This window comes from Homo sapiens, chromosome 17 (genome assembly GCF_000001405.40).
Source record: "Homo sapiens chromosome 17, GRCh38.p14 Primary Assembly".
In the NCBI taxonomy this organism is placed as follows: domain Eukaryota; kingdom Metazoa; phylum Chordata; class Mammalia; order Primates; family Hominidae; genus Homo; species Homo sapiens.
Genome location: NC_000017.11, coordinates 24,035,230 through 24,060,281, shown reverse-complemented (window position 1 = coordinate 24,060,281; position 25,052 = coordinate 24,035,230). Strand labels below are relative to the sequence as shown.

General features: G+C 40.9%; 1 annotated feature.

The window, feature by feature from the left end:
- Nucleotides 1–25,052: part of a centromere (Linear centromere model derived predominantly from reads generated in PMID: 17803354. This region does not represent an actual centromere sequence, as long-range ordering of repeats and unmapped WGS contigs is not provided by the model. For details of model production, see http://arxiv.org/abs/1307.0035.) that runs on past both edges of the window.

Below are 25,052 nucleotides of genomic sequence, written 5' to 3'. Positions count from 1 at the left end.
TTCTGAGAAGGCTTCTGTTTAGTTCTGTGCGGTTTATCCCGTTTCCAACGAAATCCTCAGAGAGGACCAAATATCCACTTGCAGTTTCTACAAGAAGAGTGTTTCAAAGCTGAACTATCAAAGAAAGGTTCAGCACTGTGAGTTGAATGCAAACATCACGAAGAGGGTTCTGAGAATTCTTCTGTCTTCTTTCTATAGGAAGTTATTTCCTTTACTACGGTAGGCCTCAAAGAAGTGCAATTATCCCCTTGCAGTTTCTACAAAAAGAGTGTTTCAAACCTGAACTATCAAAGAAAGGTTCCACACTGTGAGTTGAATGCAGACATCACGAAGAAGGTTCTGAGAATGCTTCTGTTTAGTCAGCTGAAATTATCCCGTTTCCAACGAATTCCTCAGAGAGGTCCAAATATGCACTTGCAGATTCTGCAGAAAGTGTGTTTCTAAACTGCTCCATCGCAAGGAATGTTCAGCTCTGTGAGTTCCACTCAATCATCCCAAAGAATTTTCTGAGAAAGCTTCTGTCTAGATGTCGTGTGAAGATATACCCGTTTCGAACGAAGGACACAGAGTGGTCCAAATATCCACTTGTAGATCCTGCAAAAAGAGTGTTTCAAACGTGAACTTTGAAAGGAAAGTTCAACTCTGGGATTTGAATGCAAACATCACAAAGAAGATTCTGAGACTGCTTCTGTATAGTTTTTATGTGAAGATGATTCCGTTTCCAACGAAATCTTCAAAGAGGTCTACATGTCCCCTTGCAGATGCCACAGAAAGAGAGTTTCAAAACTGCGCTCTCAAAAGGAGTGTTCAACTCCGTGAGTTGAATGCAGTCATCACAGAGAAGCTTCTGAGAATGCTTCTATCTAGTATTTAGGTGAAGATATTTCCTTTTCCACCACAAACCACAAAGCCCTCCAAACGTCCACTTGCAGATTCTAGAAAAAGAGTGTTTCATAGCTGCTCTTTCCAAAGGAAAGTTCAACTCTGGGAGTTGAATACAAACATCACCAAAAAGTTCCTGAGAATGCATCTGTCTAGTTTTTCTATGAAGCTATTCCCTTTACTACCATAGGCCTCAAAGCGCTCCAAATCTCCACTTGCACATTCCACAACAAGAGTGTTTCCAAACTGCTCTATCAATAGGAATGTTCAACTCTGTGAGGTGAATGCAATCATCACAAAGCAGTTTCTGAGAATGCTTCCGTTTAGTTAGGTGCAGTTATCCCGTTTCCAACGAAATCCTCAGAGAGGTCCAAATATCCACTTGTAGATTCTACAAAAAGTGTGTCTCAAACCTGCTCCATCCAAAGGAATGGTCAGCTCTGTGATTTAAACTCAATCATCACAAAGTATTTTCTGAGAATGCTTCTGTCTAGATTTTATGCGAAGATATACCCGTTTCGAACGAAGGCCACAGAGTGGTCCAAATAGCCACTTGCAGATCCTACAGAAAGAGTGTTTCAAACCTGAACTATCAAAGGAAGGTTCAACTCTGGGATTTGAATGCAAACATCACCAAGAAGTTTCTGAGAATGCTTCTGTTTAGTTTTTATGTGAAGATATTCCCGTTTCCAAAGACATCTTCGGAGAGGTCCACATATCCACTTGCAGATTCCACAAAAAGAGAGTTTCAACACTGCTCTATCCATAGGAGGGTTCAACTCTGTGAGTTGAATGCAATCATCACAGAGAAGTTTCTGAGAAGGCTTCTCTCCAGTTTTTATGTGACCATAATTCGTTTTCCACCACAGGCCTGAAAGCGCTCCAAATGTCCACTTGCAGACACTACGAAAAGCATGTTTCAGAACTACTCTATGAAAAGCAACGTGAAACTCTGGGAGTTGAACACAAACATCACAGAGAAGTTTCTGAGAATGCTTCTGTTTTAGTTCTGTGCGTTTTATCCCGTTTCCAACGAAATCCTCAGAGAGGCCCAAATATCCACTTGCAGATTCCACAGAAAGAGTGATTGGAAACTGCTGTTTGAAAAGGAACCTTCAACTCTGTGAGTTGAATGCAATCATCACAAAGAAGTTTCTGACAATGCTTCTGTTTTAGTTCTGTGCGGTTTATCCCGTTTCCAACGAAATCCTCAGAGAGGACCAAACATCCACTTGCAGTTTCTACAAAAAGAGTGTTTCAAAGCTGCACTATCAAAGAAAGGTTCAGCACTGTGAGTTGAATGCAAACATCACGAAGAGGGCTCTGAGAATTCTTCTGTTTAGTTCTGTGCGGTTTATCCCGTTTCCAACGAAATCCTCAGAGAGGACCAAATATCCACTTGCAGTTTCTACAAGAAGAGTGTTTCAAAGCTGAACTATCAAAGAAAGGTTCAGCACTGTGAGTTGAATGCAAACATCACGAAGAGGGTTCTGAGAATGCTTCTGTCTTCTTTCTATAGGAAGTTATTTCCTTTACTACGGTAGGCCTCAAAGAAGTGCAATTATCCCCTTGCAGTTTCTACAAAAAGAGTGTTTCAAACCTGAACTATCAAAGAAAGGTTCCACACTGTGAGTTGAATGCAGACATCACGAAGAAGGTTCTGAGAATGCTTCTGTTTAGTCAGCTGAAATTATCCCGTTTCCAACGAATTCCTCAGAGAGGTCCAAATATGCACTTGCAGATTCTGCAGAAAGTGTGTTTCTAAACTGCTACATCGCAAGGAATGTTCAGCTCTGTGAGTTCCACTCAATCATCCCAAAGAATTTTCTGAGAAAGCTTCTGTCTAGATGTCGTGTGAAGATATACCCGTTTCGAACGAAGGACACAGAGTGGTCCAAATATCCACTTGTAGATCCTGCAAAAAGAGTGTTTCAAACGTGAACTTTGAAAGGAAAGTTCAACTCTGGGATTTGAATGCAAACATCACAAAGAAGATTCTGAGACTGCTTCTGTATAGTTTTTATGTGAAGATGATTCCGTTTCCAACGAAATCTTCAAAGAGGTCTACATGTCCCCTTGCAGATGCCACAGAAAGAGAGTTTCAAAACTGCGCTCTCAAAAGGAGTGTTCAACTCCGTGAGTTGAATGCAGTCATCACAGAGAAGCTTCTGAGAATGCTTCTATCTAGTATTTAGGTGAAGATATTTCCTTTTCCACCACAAACCACAAAGCCCTCCAAACGTCCACTTGCAGATTCTAGAAAAAGAGTGTTTCATAGCTGCTCTTTCCAAAGGAAAGTTCAACTCTGGGAGTTGAATACAAACATCACCAAAAAGTTCCTGAGAATGCATCTGTCTAGTTTTTCTATGAAGCTATTCCCTTTACTACCACAGGCCTCAAAGCGCTCCAAATCTCCACTTGCACATTCCACAACAAGAGTGTTTCCAAACTGCTCTATCAATAGGAATGTTCAACTCTGTGAGGTGAATGCAATCATCACAAAGCAGTTTCTGAGAATGCTTCCGTTTAGTTAGGTGCAGTTATCCCGTTTCCAACGAAATCCTCAGAGAGGTCCAAATATCCACTTGTAGATTCTACAAAAAGTGTGTCTCAAACCTGCTCCATCCAAAGGAATGGTCAGCTCTGTGATTTAAACTCAATCATCACAAAGTATTTTCTGAGAATGCTTCTGTCTAGATTTTATGCGAAGATATACCCGTTTCGAACGAAGGCCACAGAGTGGTCCAAATAGCCACTTGCAGATCCTACAGAAAGAGTGTTTCAAACCTGAACTATCAAAGGAAGGTTCAACTCTGGGATTTGAATGCAAACATCACCAAGAAGATTCTGAGAATGCTTCTGTTTAGTTTTTATGTGAAGATATTCCCGTTTCCAAAGACATCTTCGGAGAGGTCCACATATCCACTTGCAGATTCCACAAAAAGAGAGTTTCAACACTGCTCTATCCATAGGAGGGTTCAACTCTGTGAGTTGAATGCAATCATCACAGGGAAGTTTCTGAGAAGGCTTCTCTCCAGTTTTTATGTGACCATAATTCGTTTTCCACCACAGGCCTGAAAGCGCTCCAAATGTCCACTTGCAGACACTACGAAAAGCATGTTTCAGAACTACTCTATGAAAAGCAACGTGAAACTCTGGGAGTTGAACACAAACATCACAGAGAAGTTTCTGAGAATGCTTCTGTTTTAGTTCTGTGCGTTTTATCCCGTTTCCAACGAAATCCTCAGAGAGGCCCAAATATCCACTTGCAGATTCCACAGAAAGAGTGATTGGAAACTGCTGTTTGAAAAGGAACCTTCAACTCTGTGAGTTGAATGCAATCATCACAAAGAAGTTTCTGACAATGCTTCTGTTTTAGTTCTGTGCGGTTTATCCCGTTTCCAACGAAATCCTCAGAGAGGACCAAACATCCACTTGCAGTTTCTACAAAAAGAGTGTTTCAAAGCTGCACTATCAAAGAAAGGTTCAGCACTGTGAGTTGAATGCAAACATCACGAAGAGGGCTCTGAGAATTCTTCTGTTTAGTTCTGTGCGGTTTATCCCGTTTCCAACGAAATCCTCAGAGAGGACCAAATATCCACTTGCAGTTTCTACAAGAAGAGTGTTTCAAAGCTGAACTATCAAAGAAAGGTTCAGCACTGTGAGTTGAATGCAAACATCACGAAGAGGGTTCTGAGAATGCTTCTGTCTTCTTTCTATAGGAAGTTATTTCCTTTACTACGGTAGGCCTCAAAGAAGTGCAATTATCCCCTTGCAGTTTCTACAAAAAGAGTGTTTCAAACCTGAACTATCAAAGAAAGGTTCCACACTGTGAGTTGAATGCAGACATCACGAAGAAGGTTCTGAGAATGCTTCTGTTTAGTCAGCTGAAATTATCCCGTTTCCAACGAATTCCTCAGAGAGGTCCAAATATGCACTTGCAGATTCTGCAGAAAGTGTGTTTCTAAACTGCTCCATCGCAAGGAATGTTCAGCTCTGTGAGTTCCACTCAATCATCCCAAAGAATTTTCTGAGAAAGCTTCTGTCTAGATGTCGTGTGAAGATATACCCGTTTCGAACGAAGGACACAGAGTGGTCCAAATATCCACTTGTAGATCCTGCAAAAAGAGTGTTTCAAACGTGAACTTTGAAAGGAAAGTTCAACTCTGGGATTTGAATGCAAACATCACAAAGAAGATTCTGAGACTGCTTCTGTATAGTTTTTATGTGAAGATGATTCCGTTTCCAACGAAATCTTCAAAGAGGTCTACATGTCCCCTTGCAGATGCCACAGAAAGAGAGTTTCAAAACTGCGCTCTCAAAAGGAGTGTTCAACTCCGTGAGTTGAATGCAGTCATCACAGAGAAGCTTCTGAGAATGCTTCTATCTAGTATTTAGGTGAAGATATTTCCTTTTCCACCACAAACCACAAAGCCCTCCAAACGTCCACTTGCAGATTCTAGAAAAAGAGTGTTTCATAGCTGCTCTTTCCAAAGGAAAGTTCAACTCTGGGAGTTGAATACAAACATCACCAAAAAGTTCCTGAGAATGCATCTGTCTAGTTTTTCTATGAAGCTATTCCCTTTACTACCATAGGCCTCAAAGCGCTCCAAATCTCCACTTGCACATTCCACAACAAGAGTGTTTCCAAACTGCTCTATCAATAGGAATGTTCAACTCTGTGAGGTGAATGCAATCATCACAAAGCAGTTTCTGAGAATGCTTCCGTTTAGTTAGGTGCAGTTATCCCGTTTCCAACGAAATCCTCAGAGAGGTCCAAATATCCACTTGTAGATTCTACAAAAAGTGTGTCTCAAACCTGCTCCATCCAAAGGAATGGTCAGCTCTGTGATTTAAACTCAATCATCACAAAGTATTTTCTGAGAATGCTTCTGTCTAGATTTTATGCGAAGATATACCCGTTTCGAACGAAGGCCACAGAGTGGTCCAAATAGCCACTTGCAGATCCTACAGAAAGAGTGTTTCAAACCTGAACTATCAAAGGAAGGTTCAACTCTGGGATTTGAATGCAAACATCACCAAGAAGTTTCTGAGAATGCTTCTGTTTAGTTTTTATGTGAAGATATTCCCGTTTCCAAAGACATCTTCGGAGAGGTCCACATATCCACTTGCAGATTCCACAAAAAGAGAGTTTCAACACTGCTCTATCCATAGGAGGGTTCAACTCTGTGAGTTGAATGCAATCATCACAGAGAAGTTTCTGAGAAGGCTTCTCTCCAGTTTTTATGTGACCATAATTCGTTTTCCACCACAGGCCTGAAAGCGCTCCAAATGTCCACTTGCAGACACTACGAAAAGCATGTTTCAGAACTACTCTATGAAAAGCAACGTGAAACTCTGGGAGTTGAACACAAACATCACAGAGAAGTTTCTGAGAATGCTTCTGTTTTAGTTCTGTGCGTTTTATCCCGTTTCCAACGAAATCCTCAGAGAGGCCCAAATATCCACTTGCAGATTCCACAGAAAGAGTGATTGGAAACTGCTGTTTGAAAAGGAACCTTCAACTCTGTGAGTTGAATGCAATCATCACAAAGAAGTTTCTGACAATGCTTCTGTTTTAGTTCTGTGCGGTTTATCCCGTTTCCAACGAAATCCTCAGAGAGGACCAAACATCCACTTGCAGTTTCTACAAAAAGAGTGTTTCAAAGCTGCACTATCAAAGAAAGGTTCAGCACTGTGAGTTGAATGCAAACATCACGAAGAGGGCTCTGAGAATTCTTCTGTTTAGTTCTGTGCGGTTTATCCCGTTTCCAACGAAATCCTCAGAGAGGACCAAATATCCACTTGCAGTTTCTACAAGAAGAGTGTTTCAAAGCTGAACTATCAAAGAAAGGTTCAGCACTGTGAGTTGAATGCAAACATCACGAAGAGGGTTCTGAGAATGCTTCTGTCTTCTTTCTATAGGAAGTTATTTCCTTTACTACGGTAGGCCTCAAAGAAGTGCAATTATCCCCTTGCAGTTTCTACAAAAAGAGTGTTTCAAACCTGAACTATCAAAGAAAGGTTCCACACTGTGAGTTGAATGCAGACACCACGAAGAAGGTTCTGAGAATGCTTCTGTTTAGTCAGCTGAAATTATCCCGTTTCCAACGAATTCCTCAGAGAGGTCCAAATATGCACTTGCAGATTCTGCAGAAAGTGTGTTTCTAAACTGCTACATCGCAAGGAATGTTCAGCTCTGTGAGTTCCACTCAATCATCCCAAAGAATTTTCTGAGAAAGCTTCTGTCTAGATGTCATGTGAAGATATGCCCGTTTCGAAGGAAGGACACAGAGTGGTCCAAATATCCACTTGTAGATCCTGCAAAAAGAGTGTTTCAAACGTGAACTTTGAAAGGAATGTTCATCTCTGGGATTTGAATGCAAACATCACAAAGAAGATTCTGAGACTGCTTCTGTATAGTTTTTATGTGAAGATGATTCCGTTTCCAACGAAATCTTCAAAGAGGTCTACATGTCCCCTTGCAGATGCCACAGAAAGAGAGTTTCAAAACTGCGCTCTCAAAAGGAGTGTTCAACTCCGTGAGTTGAATGCAGTCATCACAGAGAAGCTTCTGAGAATGCTTCTATCTAGTATTTAGGTGAAGATATTTCCTTTTCCACCACAAACCACAAAGCCCTCCAAACGTCCACTTGCAGATTCTAGAAAAAGAGTGTTTCATAGCTGCTCTTTCCAAAGGAAAGTTCAACTCTGGGAGTTGAATACAAACATCACCAAAAAGTTCCTGAGAATGCATCTGTCTAGTTTTTCTATGAAGCTCTTCCCTTTACTACCATAGGCCTCAAAGCGCTCCAAATCTCCACTTGAACATTCCACAACAAGAGTGTTTCCAAACTGCTCTATCAATAGGAATGTTCAACTCTGTGAGGTGAATGCAATCATCACAAAGCAGTTTCTGAGAATGCTTCCGTTTAGTTAGGTGCAGTTATCCCGTTTCCAACGAAATCCTCAGAGAGGTCCAAATATCCACTTGTAGATTCTACAAAAAGTGTGTCTCAAACCTGCTCCATCCAAAGGAATGTTCAGCTCTGTGAGTTCAACTCAATCATCACAAAGTATTTTCTGAGAATGCTTCTGTCTAGATTTTATGCGAAGATATAGCCGTTTCGAACGAAGGCCACAGAGTGGTCCAAATATCCACTTGCAGATCCTACAAAAAGAGTGTTTCAAACCTGAACTATCAAAGGAAGGTTCAACTTCTGGGATTTGAATGCAAACATCACCAAGAAGTTTCTGAGAATGCTTCTGTTTAGTTTTTATGTGAAGATATTCCCGTTTCCAAAGACATCTTCGGAGAGGTCCACATATCCACTTGCAGATTCCACAAAAAGAGAGTTTCAACACTGCTCTATCCATAGGAGGGTTCAACTCTGTGAGTTGAATGCAATCATCACAGAGAAGTTTCTGAGAAGGCTTCTCTCCAGTTTTTATGTGACCATAATTCGTTTTCCACCACAGGCCTGAAAGCGCTCCAAATGTCCACTTGCAGACACTACGAAAAGCATGTTTCAGAACTACTCTATGAAAAGCAACGTGAAACTCTGGGAGTTGAACACAAACATCACAGAGAAGTTCTGAGAATGCTTCTGTTTAGCTTTTCTGTGAAGATTATCCCGTTTCCAACAAAATCTTCAAAATAGGTCCAAATATCCACTTGCAGATTCCACAGAAAGAGTGATTGGAAACTGCTGTTTGAAAAGGAACCTTCAACTCTGTGAATTGAATGCAATCATCACAAAGAAGTTTCTGACAATGCTTCCATCTAGCTTTTACGGGAAGATAATTCCTTTTCCACCACAGGCCTCAAAGCCCTCCAAATGTCCACTTGCAGATTCTGGAAAAAGAGTGTTTCAAAGCTTCTCTCTCGAAAGGAAAGTTCAACTCTGTGAGTTGAATGCAAGCATCACAAAGAAGTTTCTGAGAATGCTACTGTCTAGCTTTTATATGAAGCTATTTCCTTTACTACCATAGGCCTCAAAGCGGTCCATATCTCCACTTGCAGATTCTACACAAAGAGAGTTTCCAAACTGCTCTGTCAAAGGGAATGTTCAATTCTGTGACTTGAATGCAATCATCACAAAGTAGTTTCTGAGAATGCTTCTGTTTAGTTCTGTGCGGTTTATCCCGTTTCCAACGAAATCCTCAGAGAGGCCCAAATATCCACTTGCACATTCTACAAATAGTGTGTTTCGAAACTGCTCCATCCAAAGGAATGTTCAGCTCTGTGAGTTAAACTCAGTCGTCACCAAGAGTTTTCTGTGAATGCTTCTGTTTTAGTTCTGTGCGGGTTATCCCGTTTCCAACGAAATCCTCAGAGAGGTCCAAATATCTACTTGCAGTTTCTACAGAAAGACCGTTTCCAACCTGAACTATCAAAGAAAGGTTCAACACTGTGAGTTGAATGCAAACATCACGAAGAAGGTTCTGAGAATGCTTCTGTTTAGTTCTGTGCAGTTTATCCCGTTTCCAACGAAATCCTCAGAGAGGACCAAATATCCACTTGCAGTTTCTACAAAAAGAGTGTTTCAAAGCTGAACTATCAAAGAAAGGTTCAGCACTGTGAGTTGAATGCAAACATCACGAAGAGGGTTCTGAGAATGCTTCTGTCTTCTTTTTAGAGAAAGTTATTTCCTTTACTACGGTACTCCTCAAAGAGTGCAATTATCCCCTTGCAGTTTCTACAAAAAGAGTGTTTCAAACCTGAACTATCAAAGAAAGGTTCCACACTGTGAGTTGAATGCAGACATCACGAAGAAGGTTCTGAGAATGCTTCTGTTTAGTCAGCTGAAATTATCCCGTTTCCAACGAATTCCTCACAGAGGTCCAAATATGCACTTGCAGATTCTGCAGAAAGTGTGTTTCTAAACTGCTACATCGCAAGGAATGCTCAGCTCTGTGAGTTCAACTCAATCATCCCAAAGAATTTTCTGAGAAAGCTTCTGTCTAGATGTCATGTGAAGATATACCCGTTTCGAACGACGGACACAGAGTGGTCCAAATATCCACTTGTAGATCCTGCAAAAAGAGTGTTTCAAACGTGAACTTTGAAAGGAAAGTTCAACTCGGGGATTTGAATGCAAACATCACAAAGAAGATTCTGAGACTGCTTCTGTATAGTTTTTATGTGTTAGATGATTCCGTTTCCAACGAAATCTTCAAAGAGGTCTACATGTCCCCTTGCAGATGCCACAGAAAGAGAGTTTCAAAACTGCGCTCTCAAAAGGAGTGTTCAACTCCGTGAGTTGAATGCAGTCATCACAGAGAAGCTTCTGAGAATGCTTCTATCTAGTATTTAGGTGAAGATATTTCCTTTTCCACCACAAACCACAAAGCCCTCCAAACGTCCACTTGCAGATTCTAGAAAAAGAGTGTTTCATAGCTGCTCTTTCCAAAGGAAAGTTCAACTCTGGGAGTTGAATACAAACATCACCAAAAAGTTACCTGAGAATGCATCTGTCTAGTTTTTCTATGAAGCTATTCCCTTTACTACCACAGGCCTCAAAGCGCTCCAAATCTCCACTTGCACATTCCACAACAAGAGTGTTTCCAAACTGCTCTATCAATAGGAATGTTCAACTCTGTGAGGTGAATGCAATCATCACAAAGCAGTTTCTGAGAATGCTTCCGTTTAGTTAGGTGCAGTTATCCCGTTTCCAACGAAATCCTCAGAGAGGTCCAAATATCCACTTGTAGATTCTACAAAAAGTGTGTCTCAAACCTGCTCCATCCAAAGGAATGGTCAGCTCTGTGATTTAAACTCAATCATCACAAAGTATTTTCTGAGAATGCTTCTGTCTAGATTTTATGCGAAGATATACCCGTTTCGAACGAAGGCCACAGAGTGGTCCAAATAGCCACTTGCAGATCCTACAGAAAGAGTGTTTCAAACCTGAACTATCAAAGGAAGGTTCAACTCTGGGATTTGAATGCAAACATCACCAAGAAGTTTCTGAGAATGCTTCTGTTTAGTTTTTATGTGAAGATATTCCCGTTTCCAAAGACATCTTCGGAGAGGTCCACATATCCACTTGCAGGTTCCACAAAAAGAGAGTTTCAACACTGCTCTATCCATAGGAGGGTTCAACTCTGTGAGTTGAATGCAATCATCACAGAGAAGTTTCTGAGAAGGCTTCTCTCCAGTTTTTATGTGACCATAATTCGTTTTCCACCACAGGCCTGAAAGCGCTCCAAATGTCCACTTGCAGACACTACGAAAAGCATGTTTCAGAACTACTCTATGAAAAGCAACGTGAAACTCTGGGAGTTGAACACAAACATCACAGAGAAGTTTCTGAGAATGCTTCTGTTTTAGTTCTGTGCGTTTTATCCCGTTTCCAACGAAATCCTCAGAGAGGCCCAAATATCCACTTGCAGATTCCACAGAAAGAGTGATTGGAAACTGCTGTTTGAAAAGGAACCTTCAACTCTGTGAGTTGAATGCAATCATCACAAAGAAGTTTCTGACAATGCTTCTATCTAGCTTTTACGGGAAGATAATTCCTTTTCCACCACAGGCCTCAAAGCTCCCAAAATGTCCACTTGCACATTCTGGAAAAAGAGTGTTTCAAAGCTTCTCTCTCGAAAGGAAAGTTCAACTCTGTGAGTTGAATGCAAGCATCACAAAGAAGTTTCTGAGAATGCTACTGTCTAGCTTTTATATGAAGCTATTTCCTTTACTACCATAGGCCTGAAAGCGGTCCATATCTCCACTTGCAGATTCTACAGAAAGAGAGTTTCCAAACTGCTCTGTCAAAGGGAATGTTCAACTCTGTGACTTGAATGCAATCATCACAAAGTAGTTTCTGAGAATGCTTCTGTTTAGTTCTGTGCGGTTTATCCCGTTTCCAACGAAATCCTCAGAGAGGCCCAAATATCCACTTGCACATTCTACAAATAGTGTGTTTCGAAACTGCTCCATCCAAAGGAATGTTCAGCTCTGTGAGTTAAACTCAGTCGTCACCAAGAGTTTTCTGTGAATGCTTCTGTTTTAGTTCTGTGCGGTTTATCCCGTTTCCAACGAAATCCTCAGAGAGGTCCAAATATCTTCTTGCAGTTTCTACAGAAAGACCGTTTCAAACCTGAACTATCAAAGAAAGGTTCAACACTGTGAGTTGAATGCAAACATCACGAAGAAGGTTCTGAGAATGCTTCTGTTTAGTTCTGTGCGGTTTATCCCGTTTCCAACGAAATCCTCAGAGAGGACCAAATATCCACTTGCAGTTTCTACAAGAAGAGTGTTTCAAAGCTGAACTATCAAAGAAAGTTTCAGCACTGTGAGTTGAATGCAAACATCACGAAGAGGGTTCTGAGAATGCTTCTGTCTTCTTTCTATAGGAAGTTATTTCCTTTACTACGGTAGGCCTCAAAGAAGTGCAATTATCCCCTTGCAGTTTCTACAAAAAGAGTGTTTCAAACCTGAACTATCAAAGAAAGGTTCCACACTGTGAGTTGAATGCAGACATCACGAAGAAGGTTCTGAGAATGCTTCTGTTTAGTCAGCTGAAATTATCCCGTTTCCAACGAATTCCTCAGAGAGGTCCAAATATGCACTTGCAGATTCTGCAGAAAGTGTGTTTCTAAACTGCTACATCGCAAGGAATGTTCAGCTCTGTGAGTTCCACTCAATCATCCCAAAGAATTTTCTGAGAAAGCTTCTGTCTAGATGTCATGTGAAGATATACCCGTTTCGAACGAAGGACACAGAGTGGTCCAAATATCCACTTGTAGATCCTGCAAAAAGAGTGTTTCAAACGTGAACTTTGAAAGGAAAGTTCAACTCTGGGATTTGAATGCAAACATCACAAAGAAGATTCTGAGACTGCTTCTGTATAGTTTTTATGTGAAGATGATTCCGTTTCCAACGAAATCTTCAAAGAGGTCTACATGTCCCCTTGCAGATGCCACAGAAAGAGAGTTTCAAAAATGCGTTCTCAAAAGGAGTGCTCAACTCCGTGAGTTGAATGCAGTCATCACAGAGAAGCTTCTGAGAATGCTTCTATCTAGTATTTAGGTGAAGATATTTCCTTTTCCACCACAAACCACAAAGCCCTCCAAACGTCCACTTGCAGATTCTAGAAAAACAGTGTTTCATAGCTGCTCTTTCCAAAGGAAAGTTCAACTCTGGGAGTTGAATACAAACATCACCAAAATGTTCCTGAGAATGCATCTGTCTAGTTTTTCTATGAAGCTATTCCCTTTACTACCATAGGCCTCAAAGCGCTCCAAATCTCCACTTGCACATTCCACAACAAGAGTGTTTCCAAACTGCTCTATCAATAGGAATGTTCAACTCTGTGAGGTGAATGCAATCATCACAAAGCAGTTTCTGAGAATGCTTCCGTTTAGTTAGGTGCAGTTATCCCGTTTCCAACGAAATCCTCCGAGAGGTCCAAATATCCACTTGTAGATTCTACAAAAAGTGTGTCTCAAACCTGCTCCATCCAAAGGAATGTTCAGCTCTGTGATTTAAACTCAATCATCACAAAGTATTTTCTGAGAATGCTTCTGTCTAGATTTTATGCGAAGATATACCCGTTTCGAAAGAAGGCCACAGAGTGGTCCAAATAGCCACTTGCAGATCCTACAAAAAGAGTGTTTCAAACCTGAACTATCAAAGGAAGGTTCAACTCTGGGATTTGAATGCAAACATCACCAAGAAGTTTCTGAGAATGCTTCCTGTTTAGTTTTTATGTGAAGACATTCCCGTTTCCAAAGACATCTTCGGAGAGGTCCACATATCCACTTGCAGATTCCACAAAAAGAGAGTTTCAACAATGCTCTATCCATAGGAGGGTTCAAATCTGTGAGTTGAATGCAATCATCACAGAGAAGTTTCTGAGAAGGCTTCTCTCCAGTTTTTATGTGACCATAATTCGTTTTCCACCACAGGCCTGAAAGCGCTCCAAATGTCCACTTGCAGAGACTACGAAAAGCATGTTTCAGAACTACTCTATGAAAAGCAACGTGAAACTCTGGGAGTTGAACACAAACATCACAGAGAAGTTTCTGAGAATGCTTCTGTTTAGCTTTTCTGTGAAGATTCTCCCGTTTCCAACGAAATCTTCAAAGAGGTCGAAATATCCACTTGCAGATTCCACAGAAAGAGTGATTGGAAACTGCTGTTTGAAAAGGAACCTTCAACTCTGTGAGTTGAATGCAATCATCTCAAAGAAGTTTCTGACAATGCTTCTATCTAGCTTTTACGGGAAGATAATTCCTTTTCCACCCCAGGCCTCAAAGCTCCCCAAATGTCCACTTGCACATTCTGGAAAAAGAGTGTTTCAAAGCTTCTCTCTCGAAAGGAAAGTTCAACTCTGTGAGTTGAATGCAAGCATCACAAAGAAGTTTCTGAGAATGCTACTGTCTAGCTTTTATATGAAGCTATTTCCTTTACTACCATAGGCCTCAAAGCGGTCCATATCTCCACTTGCAGATTCTACACAAAGAGAGTTTCCAAACTGCTCTGTCAAAGGGAATGTTCAACTCTGTGACTTGAATGCAATCATCACAAAGTAGTTTCTGAGAATGCTTCTGTTTTAGTTCTGTGCGTTTTATCCCGTTTCCAACGAAATCCTCAGAGAGGCCCAAATATCCACTTGCAGATTCTACAAATAGTGTGTTTCGAAACTGCTCCATCCAAAGGAATGTTCAGCTCTGTGAGTTAAACTCAGTCGTCACCAAGAGTTTTCTGTGAATGCTTCTGTTTTAGTTCTGTGCGGTTTATCCCGTTTCCAACGAAATCCTCAGAGAGGACCAAATATCCACTTGCAGTTTCTACAAAAAGAGTGTTTCAAAGCTGCACTATCAAAGAAAGGTTCAGCACTGTGAGTTGAATGCAAACATCACGAAGAGGGCTCTGAGAATTCTTCTGTTTAGTTCTGTGCGGTTTATCCCGTTTCCAACGAAATCCTCAGAGAGGACCAAATATCCACTTGCAGTTTCTATAAGAAGAGTGTTTCAAAGCTGAACTATCAAAGAAAGGTTCAGCACTGTGAGTTGAATGCAAACATCACGAAGAGGGTTCTGAGAATGCTTCTGTCTTCTTTCTATAGGAAGTTATTTCCTTTACTACGGTAGGCCTCAAAGAAGTGCAATTATCCCCTTGCAGTTTCTACAAAAAGAGTGTTTCAAACCTGAACTATCAAAGAAAGGTTCCACACTGTGAGTTGAATGCAGACATCACGAAGAAGGTTCTGAGAATGCTTCTGTTTAGTCAGCTGAAATTATCCCGTTTCCAACGAATTCCTCAGAGAGGTCCAAATATGCACTTGCAGATTCTGCAGAAAGTGTGTTTCTAAACTGCTACATCGCAAGGAATGTTCAGCTCTGTGAGTTCCACTCAATCATCCCAAAGAATTTTCTGAGAAAGCTTCTGTCTAGATGTCGTGTGAAGATATACCCGTTTCGAACGAAGGACACAGAGTGGTCCAAATATCCACTTGTAGATCCTGCAAAAAGAGTGTTTCAAACGTGAACTTTGAAAGGAAAGTTCAACTCTGGGATTTGAATGCAAACATCACAAAGAAGATTCTGAGACTGCTTCTGTATAGTTTTTATGTGAAGATGATTCCGTTTCCAACGAAATCTTCAAAGAGGTCTACATGTCCCCTTGCAGATGCCACAGAAAGAGAGTTTCAAAACTGCGCTCTCAAAAGGAGTGTTCAACTCCGTGAGTTGAATGCAGTCATCACAGAGAAGCTTCTGAGAATGCTTCTATCTAGTATTTAGGTGAAGATATTTCCTTTTCCACCACAAACCACAAAGCCCTCCAAACGTCCACTTGCAGATTCTAGAAAAAGAGTGTTTCATAGCTGCTCTTTCCAAAGGAAAGTTCAACTCTGGGAGTTGAATACAAACATCACCAAAAAGTTCCTGAGAATGCATCTGTCTAGTTTTTCTATGAAGCTATTCCCTTTACTACCATAGGCCTCAAAGCGCTCCAAATCTCCACTTGCACATTCCACAACAAGAGTGTTTCCAAACTGCTCTATCAATAGGAATGTTCAACTCTGTGAGGTGAATGCAATCATCACAAAGCAGTTTCTGAGAATGCTTCCGTTTAGTTAGGTGCAGTTATCCCGTTTCCAACGAAATCCTCAGAGAGGTCCAAATATCCACTTGTAGATTCTACAAAAAGTGTGTCTCAAACCTGCTCCATCCAAAGGAATGTTCAGCTCTGTGATTTTAACTCAATCATCACAAAGTATTTTCTGAGAATGCTTCTGTCTAGATTTTATGCGAAGATGTACCCGTTTCGAACGAAGGCCACAGAGTGGTCCAAATATCCACTTGCAGATCCTACAAAAAGAGTGTTTCAAACCTGAACTATCAAAGGAAGGTTCAACTCTGGGATTTGAATGCAAACATCACCAAGAAGTTTCTGAGAATGCTTCTGTTTAGTTTTTATGTGAAGATATTCCCGTTTCCAAAGACATCTTCGGAGAGGTCCACATATCCACTTGCAGATTCCACAAAAAGAGAGTTTCAACACTGCTCTATCCATAGGAGGGTTCAACTCTGTGAGTTGAATGCAATCATCACAGAGAAGTTTCTGAGAAGGCTTCTCTCCAGTTTTTATGTGACCATAATTCGTTTTCCACCAAAGGCCTGAAAGCGCTCCAAATGTCCACTTGCAGACACTACGAAAAGCATGTTTCAGAACTACTCTATGAAAAGCAATGTGAAACTCTGGGAGTTGAACACAAACATCACAGAGAAGTTTCTGAGAATGCTTCTGTTTAGCTTTTCTGTGAAGATTCTCCCGTTTCCAACGAAATCTTCAAAGAGGTCGAAATATCCACTTGCAGATTCCACAGAAAGAGTGATTGGAAACTGCTGTTTGAAAAGGAACCTTCAACTCCTGTGAGTTGAATGCAATCATCACAAAGAAGTTTCTGACAATGCTTCTATCTAGCTTTTACAGGAAGATAATTCCTTTTCCACCACAGGCCTCAAAGCCCTCCAAATGTCCACTTGCAGATTCTGGAAAAAGAGTATTTCAAAGCTTCTCTCTCGAAAGGATAGTTCAACTCTGTGAGTTGAATGCAAGCATCACAAAGAAGTTTCTGAGAATGCTACTGTCTAGCTTTTATATGAAGCTATTTCCTTTACTACCATAGGCCTCAAAGCGGTCCATATCTCCACTTGCAGATTCTACACAAAGAGAGTTTCCAAACTGCTCTGTCAAAGGGAATGTTCAACTCTGTGACTTGAATGCAATCATCACAAAGTAGTTTCTGAGAATGCTTCTGTTTTAGTTCTGTGCGGTTTATCCCGTTTCCAACGAAATCCTCAGAGAGGCCCACATATCCACTTGCAGATTCTACAAATAGTGTGTTTTGAAACTGCTCCATCCAAAGGAATGTTCAGCTCTGTGAGTTAAACTCAGTCGTCACCAAGAGTTTTCTGTGAATGCTTCTGTTTAGTTCTGGGCGTTTTATCCCTTTTCCAACGAAATCCTCAGAGAGGACCAAATATCCATTTGCAGTTTCTACAAAAAGAGTGTTTCAAAGCTGAACTATCAAAGAAAGGTTCAGCACTGTGAGTTGAATGCAAACATCACGAAGAGGGTTCTGAGAATGCTTCTGTCTTCTTTTTATAGGAAGTTATTTCCTTTACTACGGTACTCCTCAAAGAGTGCAATTATCCCCTTGCAGTTTCTACAAAAAGAGTGTTTCAAACCTGAACTATCAAAGAAAGGTTCCACACTGTGAGTTGAATGCAGACATCACGAAGAAGGTTCTGAGAATGCTTCTGTTTAGTCAGCTGAAATTATCCCGTTTCCAACGAATTCCTCAGAGAGGTCCACATATGCACTTGCAGATTCTGCAGAAAGTGTGTTTCTAAACTGCTACATCGCAAGGAATGCTCAGCTCTGTGAGTTCAAATCAATCATCCCAAACAATTTTCTGAGAAAGCTTCTGTCTAGATGTCATGTGAAGATATACCCGTTTCGAACGAAGGACACAGAGTGGTCCAAATATCCACTTGTAGATCCTGCAAAAAGAGTGTTTCAAACGTGAACTTTGAAAGGAAAGTTCAACTCTGGGATTTGAATGCAAACATCACAAAGAAGATTCTGAGACTGCTTCTGTATAGTTTTTATGTGAAGATGATTCCGTTTCCAACGAAATCTTCAAAGAGGTCTACATGTCCCTTTGCAGATGCCACAGAAAGAGAGTTTCAAAACTGCGCTCTCAAAAGGAGTGTTCAACTCCGTGAGTTGATTGCAGTCATCACAGAGAAGCTTCTGAGAATGCTTCTATCTAGTATTTAGGTGAAGATATTTCCTTTTCCACCACAAACCACAAAGCCCTCCAAACGTCCACTTGCAGATTCTAGAAAAAGAGTGTTTCATAGCTGCTCTTTCCAAAGGAAAGTTCAACTCTGGGAGTTGAATACAAACATCACCAAAAAGTTTCTGAGAATGCATCTGTCTAGTTTTTCTATGAAGCTATTCCCTTTACTACCATAGGCCTCAAAGCGCTCCAAATCTCCACTTTCACATTCCACAACAAGAGTGTTTCCAAACTGCTCTATCAATAGGAATCTTCAACTCTGTGAGGTGAATGCAATCATCACAAAGCAGTTTCTGAGAATGCTTCCGTTTAGTTAGGTGCAGTTATCCCGTTTCCAACGAAATCCTCAGAGAGGTCCAAATATCCACTTGTAGATTCTACAAAAAGTGTGTCTCAAACCTGCTCCATCCAAAGGAATGTTCAGCTCTGTGAGTTCAACTCAATCATCACAAAGTATTTTCTGAGAATGCTTCTGTCTAGATTTTATGCGAAGATGTACCCGTTTCGAACGAAGGCCACAGAGTGGTCCAAATATCCACTTGCAGATCCTACAAAAAGAGTGTTGCAAACCTGAACTCTCAAAGGAAGGTTCAACTCTGGGATTTGAATGCAAACATCACCAAGAAGTTTCTGAGAATGCTTCTGTTTAGTTTTTATGTGAAGATATTCCCGTTGCCAAAGACATCTTCGGAGAGGTCCACATATCCGCTTGCAGATTCCACAAAAAGAGAGTTTCAACACTGCTCTATCCATAGGAGGGTTCAACTCTGTGAGTTGAATGCAATCATCACAGAGAAGTTTCTGAGAAGGCTTCTCTCCAGTTTTTATGTGACCATAATTCGTTTTCCACCACAGGCCTGAAAGCGCTCCAAATGTCCACTTGCAGACACTACGAAAAGCATGTTTCAGAACTACTCTATGAGAAGCAATGTGAAACTCTGGGAGTTGAACACAAACATCACAGAGAAGTTTCTGAGAATGCTTCTGTTTAGCTTTTCTGTGAAGATTATCCCGTTTCCAACGATATCTTCAAAGAGGCCCAAATATCCACTTGCAGATTCCACAGAAAGAGTGATTGGAAACTGCTCTTTGAAAAGCAACCTTCAACTCTGTGAGTTGAATGCAATCATCACAAAGAAGTTTCTGACAATGCTTCTATCTAGCTTTTACGGGAAGATAATTCCTTTTCCACCACAGGCCTCAAAGCCCTCCAAATGTCCACTTGCAGATTCTGGAAAAAGAGTGTTTCAAAGCTTCTCTCTCGAAAGGAAAGTTCAACTCTGTGAGTTGAATGCAAGCATCACAAAGAAGTTTCTGAGAATGCTACTGTCTAGCTTTTATATGAAGCTATTTCCTTTACTACCATAGGCCTCAAAGCGGTCCATATCTCCACTTGCAGATTCTACACAAAGAGAGTTTCCAAACTGCTCTGTCAAAGGGAATGTTCAACTCTGTGACTTGAATGCAATCATCACAAAGTAGTTTCTGAGAATGCTTCTGTTTAGTTCTGTGCGGTTTATCCCGTTTCCAACGAAATCCTCAGTAGAGGCCTAAATATCCACTTGCACATTCTACAAATAGTGTGTTTCGAAACTGCTCCATCCAAAGGAATGTTCAGCTCTGTGAGTTAAACTCAGTCGTCACCAAGAGTTTTCTGTGAATGCTTCTGTTTTAGTTCTGTGCGGGTTATCCCGTTTCCAACGAAATCCTCAGAGAGGTCCAAATATCTACTTGCAGTTTCTACAGAAAGACCGTTTCAAACCTGAACTATCAAAGAAAGGTTCAACACTGTGAGTTGAATGCAAACATCACGAAGAAGTTCTGAGAATGCTTCTGTTTAGTTCTGTGCAGTTTATCCCGTTTCCAACGAAATGCTCAGAGAGGACCAAATATCCACTTGCAGTTTCTACAAAAAGAGTGTTTCAAAGCTGAACTATCAAAGAAAGGTTCAGCACTGTGAGTTGAATGCAAACATCACGAAGAGGGTTCTGAGAATGCTTCTGTCTTCTTTTTATAGGAAGTTATTTCCTTTACTACGGTACTCCTCAAAGAGTGCAATGATCCCCTTGCAGTTTCTACAAAAAGAGTGTTTCAAACCTGAACTATCAAAGAAAGGTTCCACACTGTGAGTTGAATGCAGACATCACGAAGAAGGTTCTGAGAATGCTTCTGTTTAGTCAGCTGAAATTATCCCGTTTCCAACGAATTCCTCACAGAGGTCCAAATATGCACTTGCAGATTCTGCAGAAAGTGTGTTTCTAAACTGCTACATCGCAAGGAATGCTCAGCTCTGTGAGTTCAACTCAATCATCCCAAAGAATTTTCTGAGAAAGCTTCTGTCTAGATGTCATGTGAAGATATACCCGTTTCGAACGAAGGACACAGAGTGGTCCAAATATCCACTTGTAGATCCTGCAAAAAGAGTGTTTCAAACGTGAACTTTGAAAGGAAAGTTCAACTCGGGGATTTGAATGCAAACATCACAAAGAAGATTCTGAGACTGCTTCTGTATAGTTTTTATGTGAAGATGATTCCGTTTCCAACGAAATCTTCAAAGAGGTCTACATGTCCCCTTGCAGATGCCACAGAAAGAGAGTTTCAAAACTGCGCTCTCAAAAGGAGTGTTCAACTCCGTGAGTTGAATGCAGTCATCACAGAGAAGCTTCTGAGGATGCTTCTATCTAGTATTTAGGTGAAGATATTTCCTTTTCCACCACAAACCACAAAGCCCTCCAAACTGTCCACTTGCAGATTCTAGAAAAAGAGTGTTTCATAGCTGCTCTTTCCAAAGGAAAGTTCAACTCTGGGAGTTGAATACAAACATCACCAAAAAGTTCCTGAGAATGCATCTGTCTAGTTTTTCTATGAAGCTATTCCCTTTACTACCATAGGCCTCAAAGCGCTCCAAATCTCCACTTGCACATTCCACAACAAGAGTGTTTCCAAACTGCTCTATCAATAGGAATGTTCAACTCTGTGAGGTGAATGCAATCATCACAAAGCAGTTTCTGAGAATGCTTCCGTTTAGTTAGGTGCAGTTATCCCGTTTCCAACGAAATCCTCAGAGAGGTCCAAATATCCACTTGTAGATTCTACAAAAAGTGTGTCTCAAACCTGCTCCATCCAAAGGAATGTTCAGCTCTGTGATTTAAACTCAATCATCACAAAGTATTTTCTGAGAATGCTTCTGTCTAGATTTTATGCGAAGATATACCCGTTTCGAACGAAGGCCACAGAGTGGTCCAAATAGCCACTTGCAGATCCTACAAAAAGAGTGTTTCAAACCTGAACTATCAAAGGAAGGTTCAACTCTGGGATTTGAATGCAAACATCACCAAGAAGTTTCTGAGAATGCTTCTGTTTAGTTTTTATGTGAAGATATTCCCGTTTCCAAAGACATCTTCGGAGAGGTCCACATATCCACTTGCAGATTCCACAAAAAGAGAGTTTCAACACTGCTCTATCCATAGGAGGGTTCAACTCTGTGAGTTGAATGCAATCATCACAGAGAAGTTTCTGAGAAGGCTTCTCTCCAGTTTTTATGTGACCATAATTCGTTTTCCACCACAGGCCTGAAAGCGCTCCAAATGTCCACTTGCAGACACTACGAAAAGCATGTTTCAGAACTACTCTATGAAAAGCAACGTGAAACTCTGGGAGTTGAACACAAACATCACAGAGAAGTTTCTGAGAATGCTTCTGTTTTAGTTCTGTGCGTTTTATCCCGTTTCCAACGAAATCCTCAGAGAGGCCCAAATATCCACTTGCAGATTCCACAGAAAGAGTGATTGGAAACTGCTGTTTGAAAAGGAACCTTCAACTCTGTGAGTTGAATGCAATCATCACAAAGAAGTTTCTGACAATGCTTCTGTTTTAGTTCTGTGCGGTTTATCCCGTTTCCAACGAAATCCTCAGAGAGGACCAAACATCCACTTGCAGTTTCTACAAAAAGAGTGTTTCAAAGCTGCACTATCAAAGAAAGGTTCAGCACTGTGAGTTGAATGCAAACATCACGAAGAGGGCTCTGAGAATTCTTCTGTTTAGTTCTGTGCGGTTTATCCCGTTTCCAACGAAATCCTCAGAGAGGACCAAATATCCACTTGCAGTTTCTACAAGAAGAGTGTTTCAAAGCTGAACTATCAAAGAAAGGTTCAGCACTGTGAGTTGAATGCAAACATCACGAAGAGGGTTCTGAGAATGCTTCTGTCTTCTTTCTATAGGAAGTTATTTCCTTTACTACGGTAGGCCTCAAAGAAGTGCAATTATCCCCTTGCAGTTTCTACAAAAAGAGTGTTTCAAACCTGAACTATCAAAGAAAGGTTCCACACTGTGAGTTGAATGCAGACATCACGAAGAAGGTTCTGAGAATGCTTCTGTTTAGTCAGCTGAAATTATCCCGTTTCCAACGAATTCCTCAGAGAGGTCCAAATATGCACTTGCAGATTCTGCAGAAAGTGTGTTTCTAAACTGCTACATCGCAAGGAATGTTCAGCTCTGTGAGTTCCACTCAATCATCCCAAAGAATTTTCTGAGAAAGCTTCTGTCTAGATGTCGTGTGAAGATATACCCGTTTCGAACGAAGGACACAGAGTGGTCCAAATATCCACTTGTAGATCCTGCAAAAAGAGTGTTTCAAACGTGAACTTTGAAAGGAAAGTTCAACTCTGGGATTTGAATGCAAACATCACAAAGAAGATTCTGAGACTGCTTCTGTATAGTTTTTATGTGAAGATGATTCCGTTTCCAACGAAATCTTCAAAGAGGTCTACATGTCCCCATGCGGATGCCACAGAAAGAGAGTTTCAAAACTGCGCTCTCAAAAGGAGTGTTCAACTCCGTGAGTTGAATGCAGTCATCACAGAGAAGCTTCTGAGAATGCTTCTATCTAGTATTTAGGTGAAGATATTTCCTTTTCCACCACAAACCACAAAGCCCTCCAAACGTCCACTTGCAGATTCTAGAAAAAGAGTGTTTCATAGCTGCTCTTTCCAAAGGAAAGTTCAACTCTGGGAGTTGAATACAAACATCACCAAAAAGTTCCTGAGAATGCATCTGTCTAGTTTTTCTATGAAGCTATTCCCTTTACTACCATAGGCCTCAAAGCGCTCCAAATCTCCACTTGCACATTCCACAACAAGAGTGTTTCCAAACTGCTCTATCAATAGGAATGTTCAACTCTGTGAGGTGAATGCAATCATCACAAAGCAGTTTCTGAGAATGCTTCCGTTTAGTTAGGTGCAGTTATCCCGTTTCCAACGAAATCCTCAGAGAGGTCCAAATATCCACTTGTAGATTCTACAAAAAGTGTGTCTCAAACCTGCTCCATCCAAAGGAATGTTCAGCTCTGTGAGTTCAACTCAATCATCACAAAGTATTTTCTGAGAATGCTTCTGTCTAGATTTTATGCGAAGATATACCCGTTTCGAACGAAGGCCACAGAGTGGTCCAAATAGCCACTTGCAGATCCTACAAAAAGAGTGTTTCAAACCTGAACTATCAAAGGAAGGTTCAACTCTGGGATTTGAATGCAAACATCACCAAGAAGTTTCTGAGAATGCTTCTGTTTAGTTTTTATGTGAAGATATTCCCGTTTCCAAAGACATCTTCGGAGAGGTCCACATATCCACTTGCAGATTCCACAAAAAGAGAGTTTCAACACTGCTCTATCCATAGGAGGGTTCAACTCTGTGAGTTGAATGCAATCATCACAGAGAAGTTTCTGAGAAGGCTTCTCTCCAGTTTTTATGTGACCATAATTCGTTTTCCACCACAGGCCTGAAAGCGCTCCAAATGTCCACTTGCAGACACTACGAAAAGCATGTTTCAGAACTACTCTATGAAAAGCAATGTGAAACTCTGGGAGTTGAACACAAACATCACAGAGAAGTTTCTGAGAATGCTTCTGTTTAGCTTTTCTGTGAAGATTATCCCGTTTCCAACGAAATCTTCAAAATAGGTCCAAATATCCACTTGCAGATTCCACAGAAAGAGTGATTGGAAACTGCTGTTTGAAAAGGAACCTTCAACTCTGTGAGTTGAATGCAATCATCACAAAGAAGTTTCTGACAATGCTTCTATCTAGCTTTTACGGGAAGATAATTCCTTTTCCACCACAGGCCTCAAAGCCCTCCAAATGTCCACTTGCAGATTCTGGAAAAAGAGTGTTTCAAAGCTTCTCTCTCGAAAGGAAAGTTCAACTCTGTGAGTTGAATGCAAGCATCACAAAGAAGTTTCTGAGAATGCTACTGTCTAGCTTTTATATGAAGCTATTTCCTTTACTACCATAGGCCTCAAAGCGGTCCATATCTCCACTTGCAGATTCTACACAAAGAGAGTTTCCAAACTGCTCTGTCAAAGGGAATGTTCAACTCTGTGACTTGAATGCAATCATCACAAAGTAGTTTCTGAGAATGCTTCTGTTTAGTTCTGTGCGGTTTATCCCGTTTCCAACGAAATCCTCAGAGAGGCCCAAATATCCACTTGCACATTCTACAAATAGTGTGTTTCGAAACTGCTCCATCCAAAGGAATGTTCAGCTCTGTGAGTTAAACTCAGTCGTCACCAAGAGTTTTCTGTGAATGCTTCTGTTTTAGTTCTGTGCGGGTTATCCCGTTTCCAACGAAATCCTCAGAGAGGTCCAAATATCTACTTGCAGTTTCTACAGAAAGACCGTTTCAAACCTGAACTATCAAAGAAAGGTTCAACACTGTGAGTTGAATGCAAACATCACGAAGAAGGTTCTGAGAATGCTTCTGTTTAGTTCTGTGCGGTTTATCCCGTTTCCAACGAAATCCTCAGAGAGGACCAAATATCCACTTGCAGTTTCTACAAGAAGAGTGTTTCAAAGCTGAA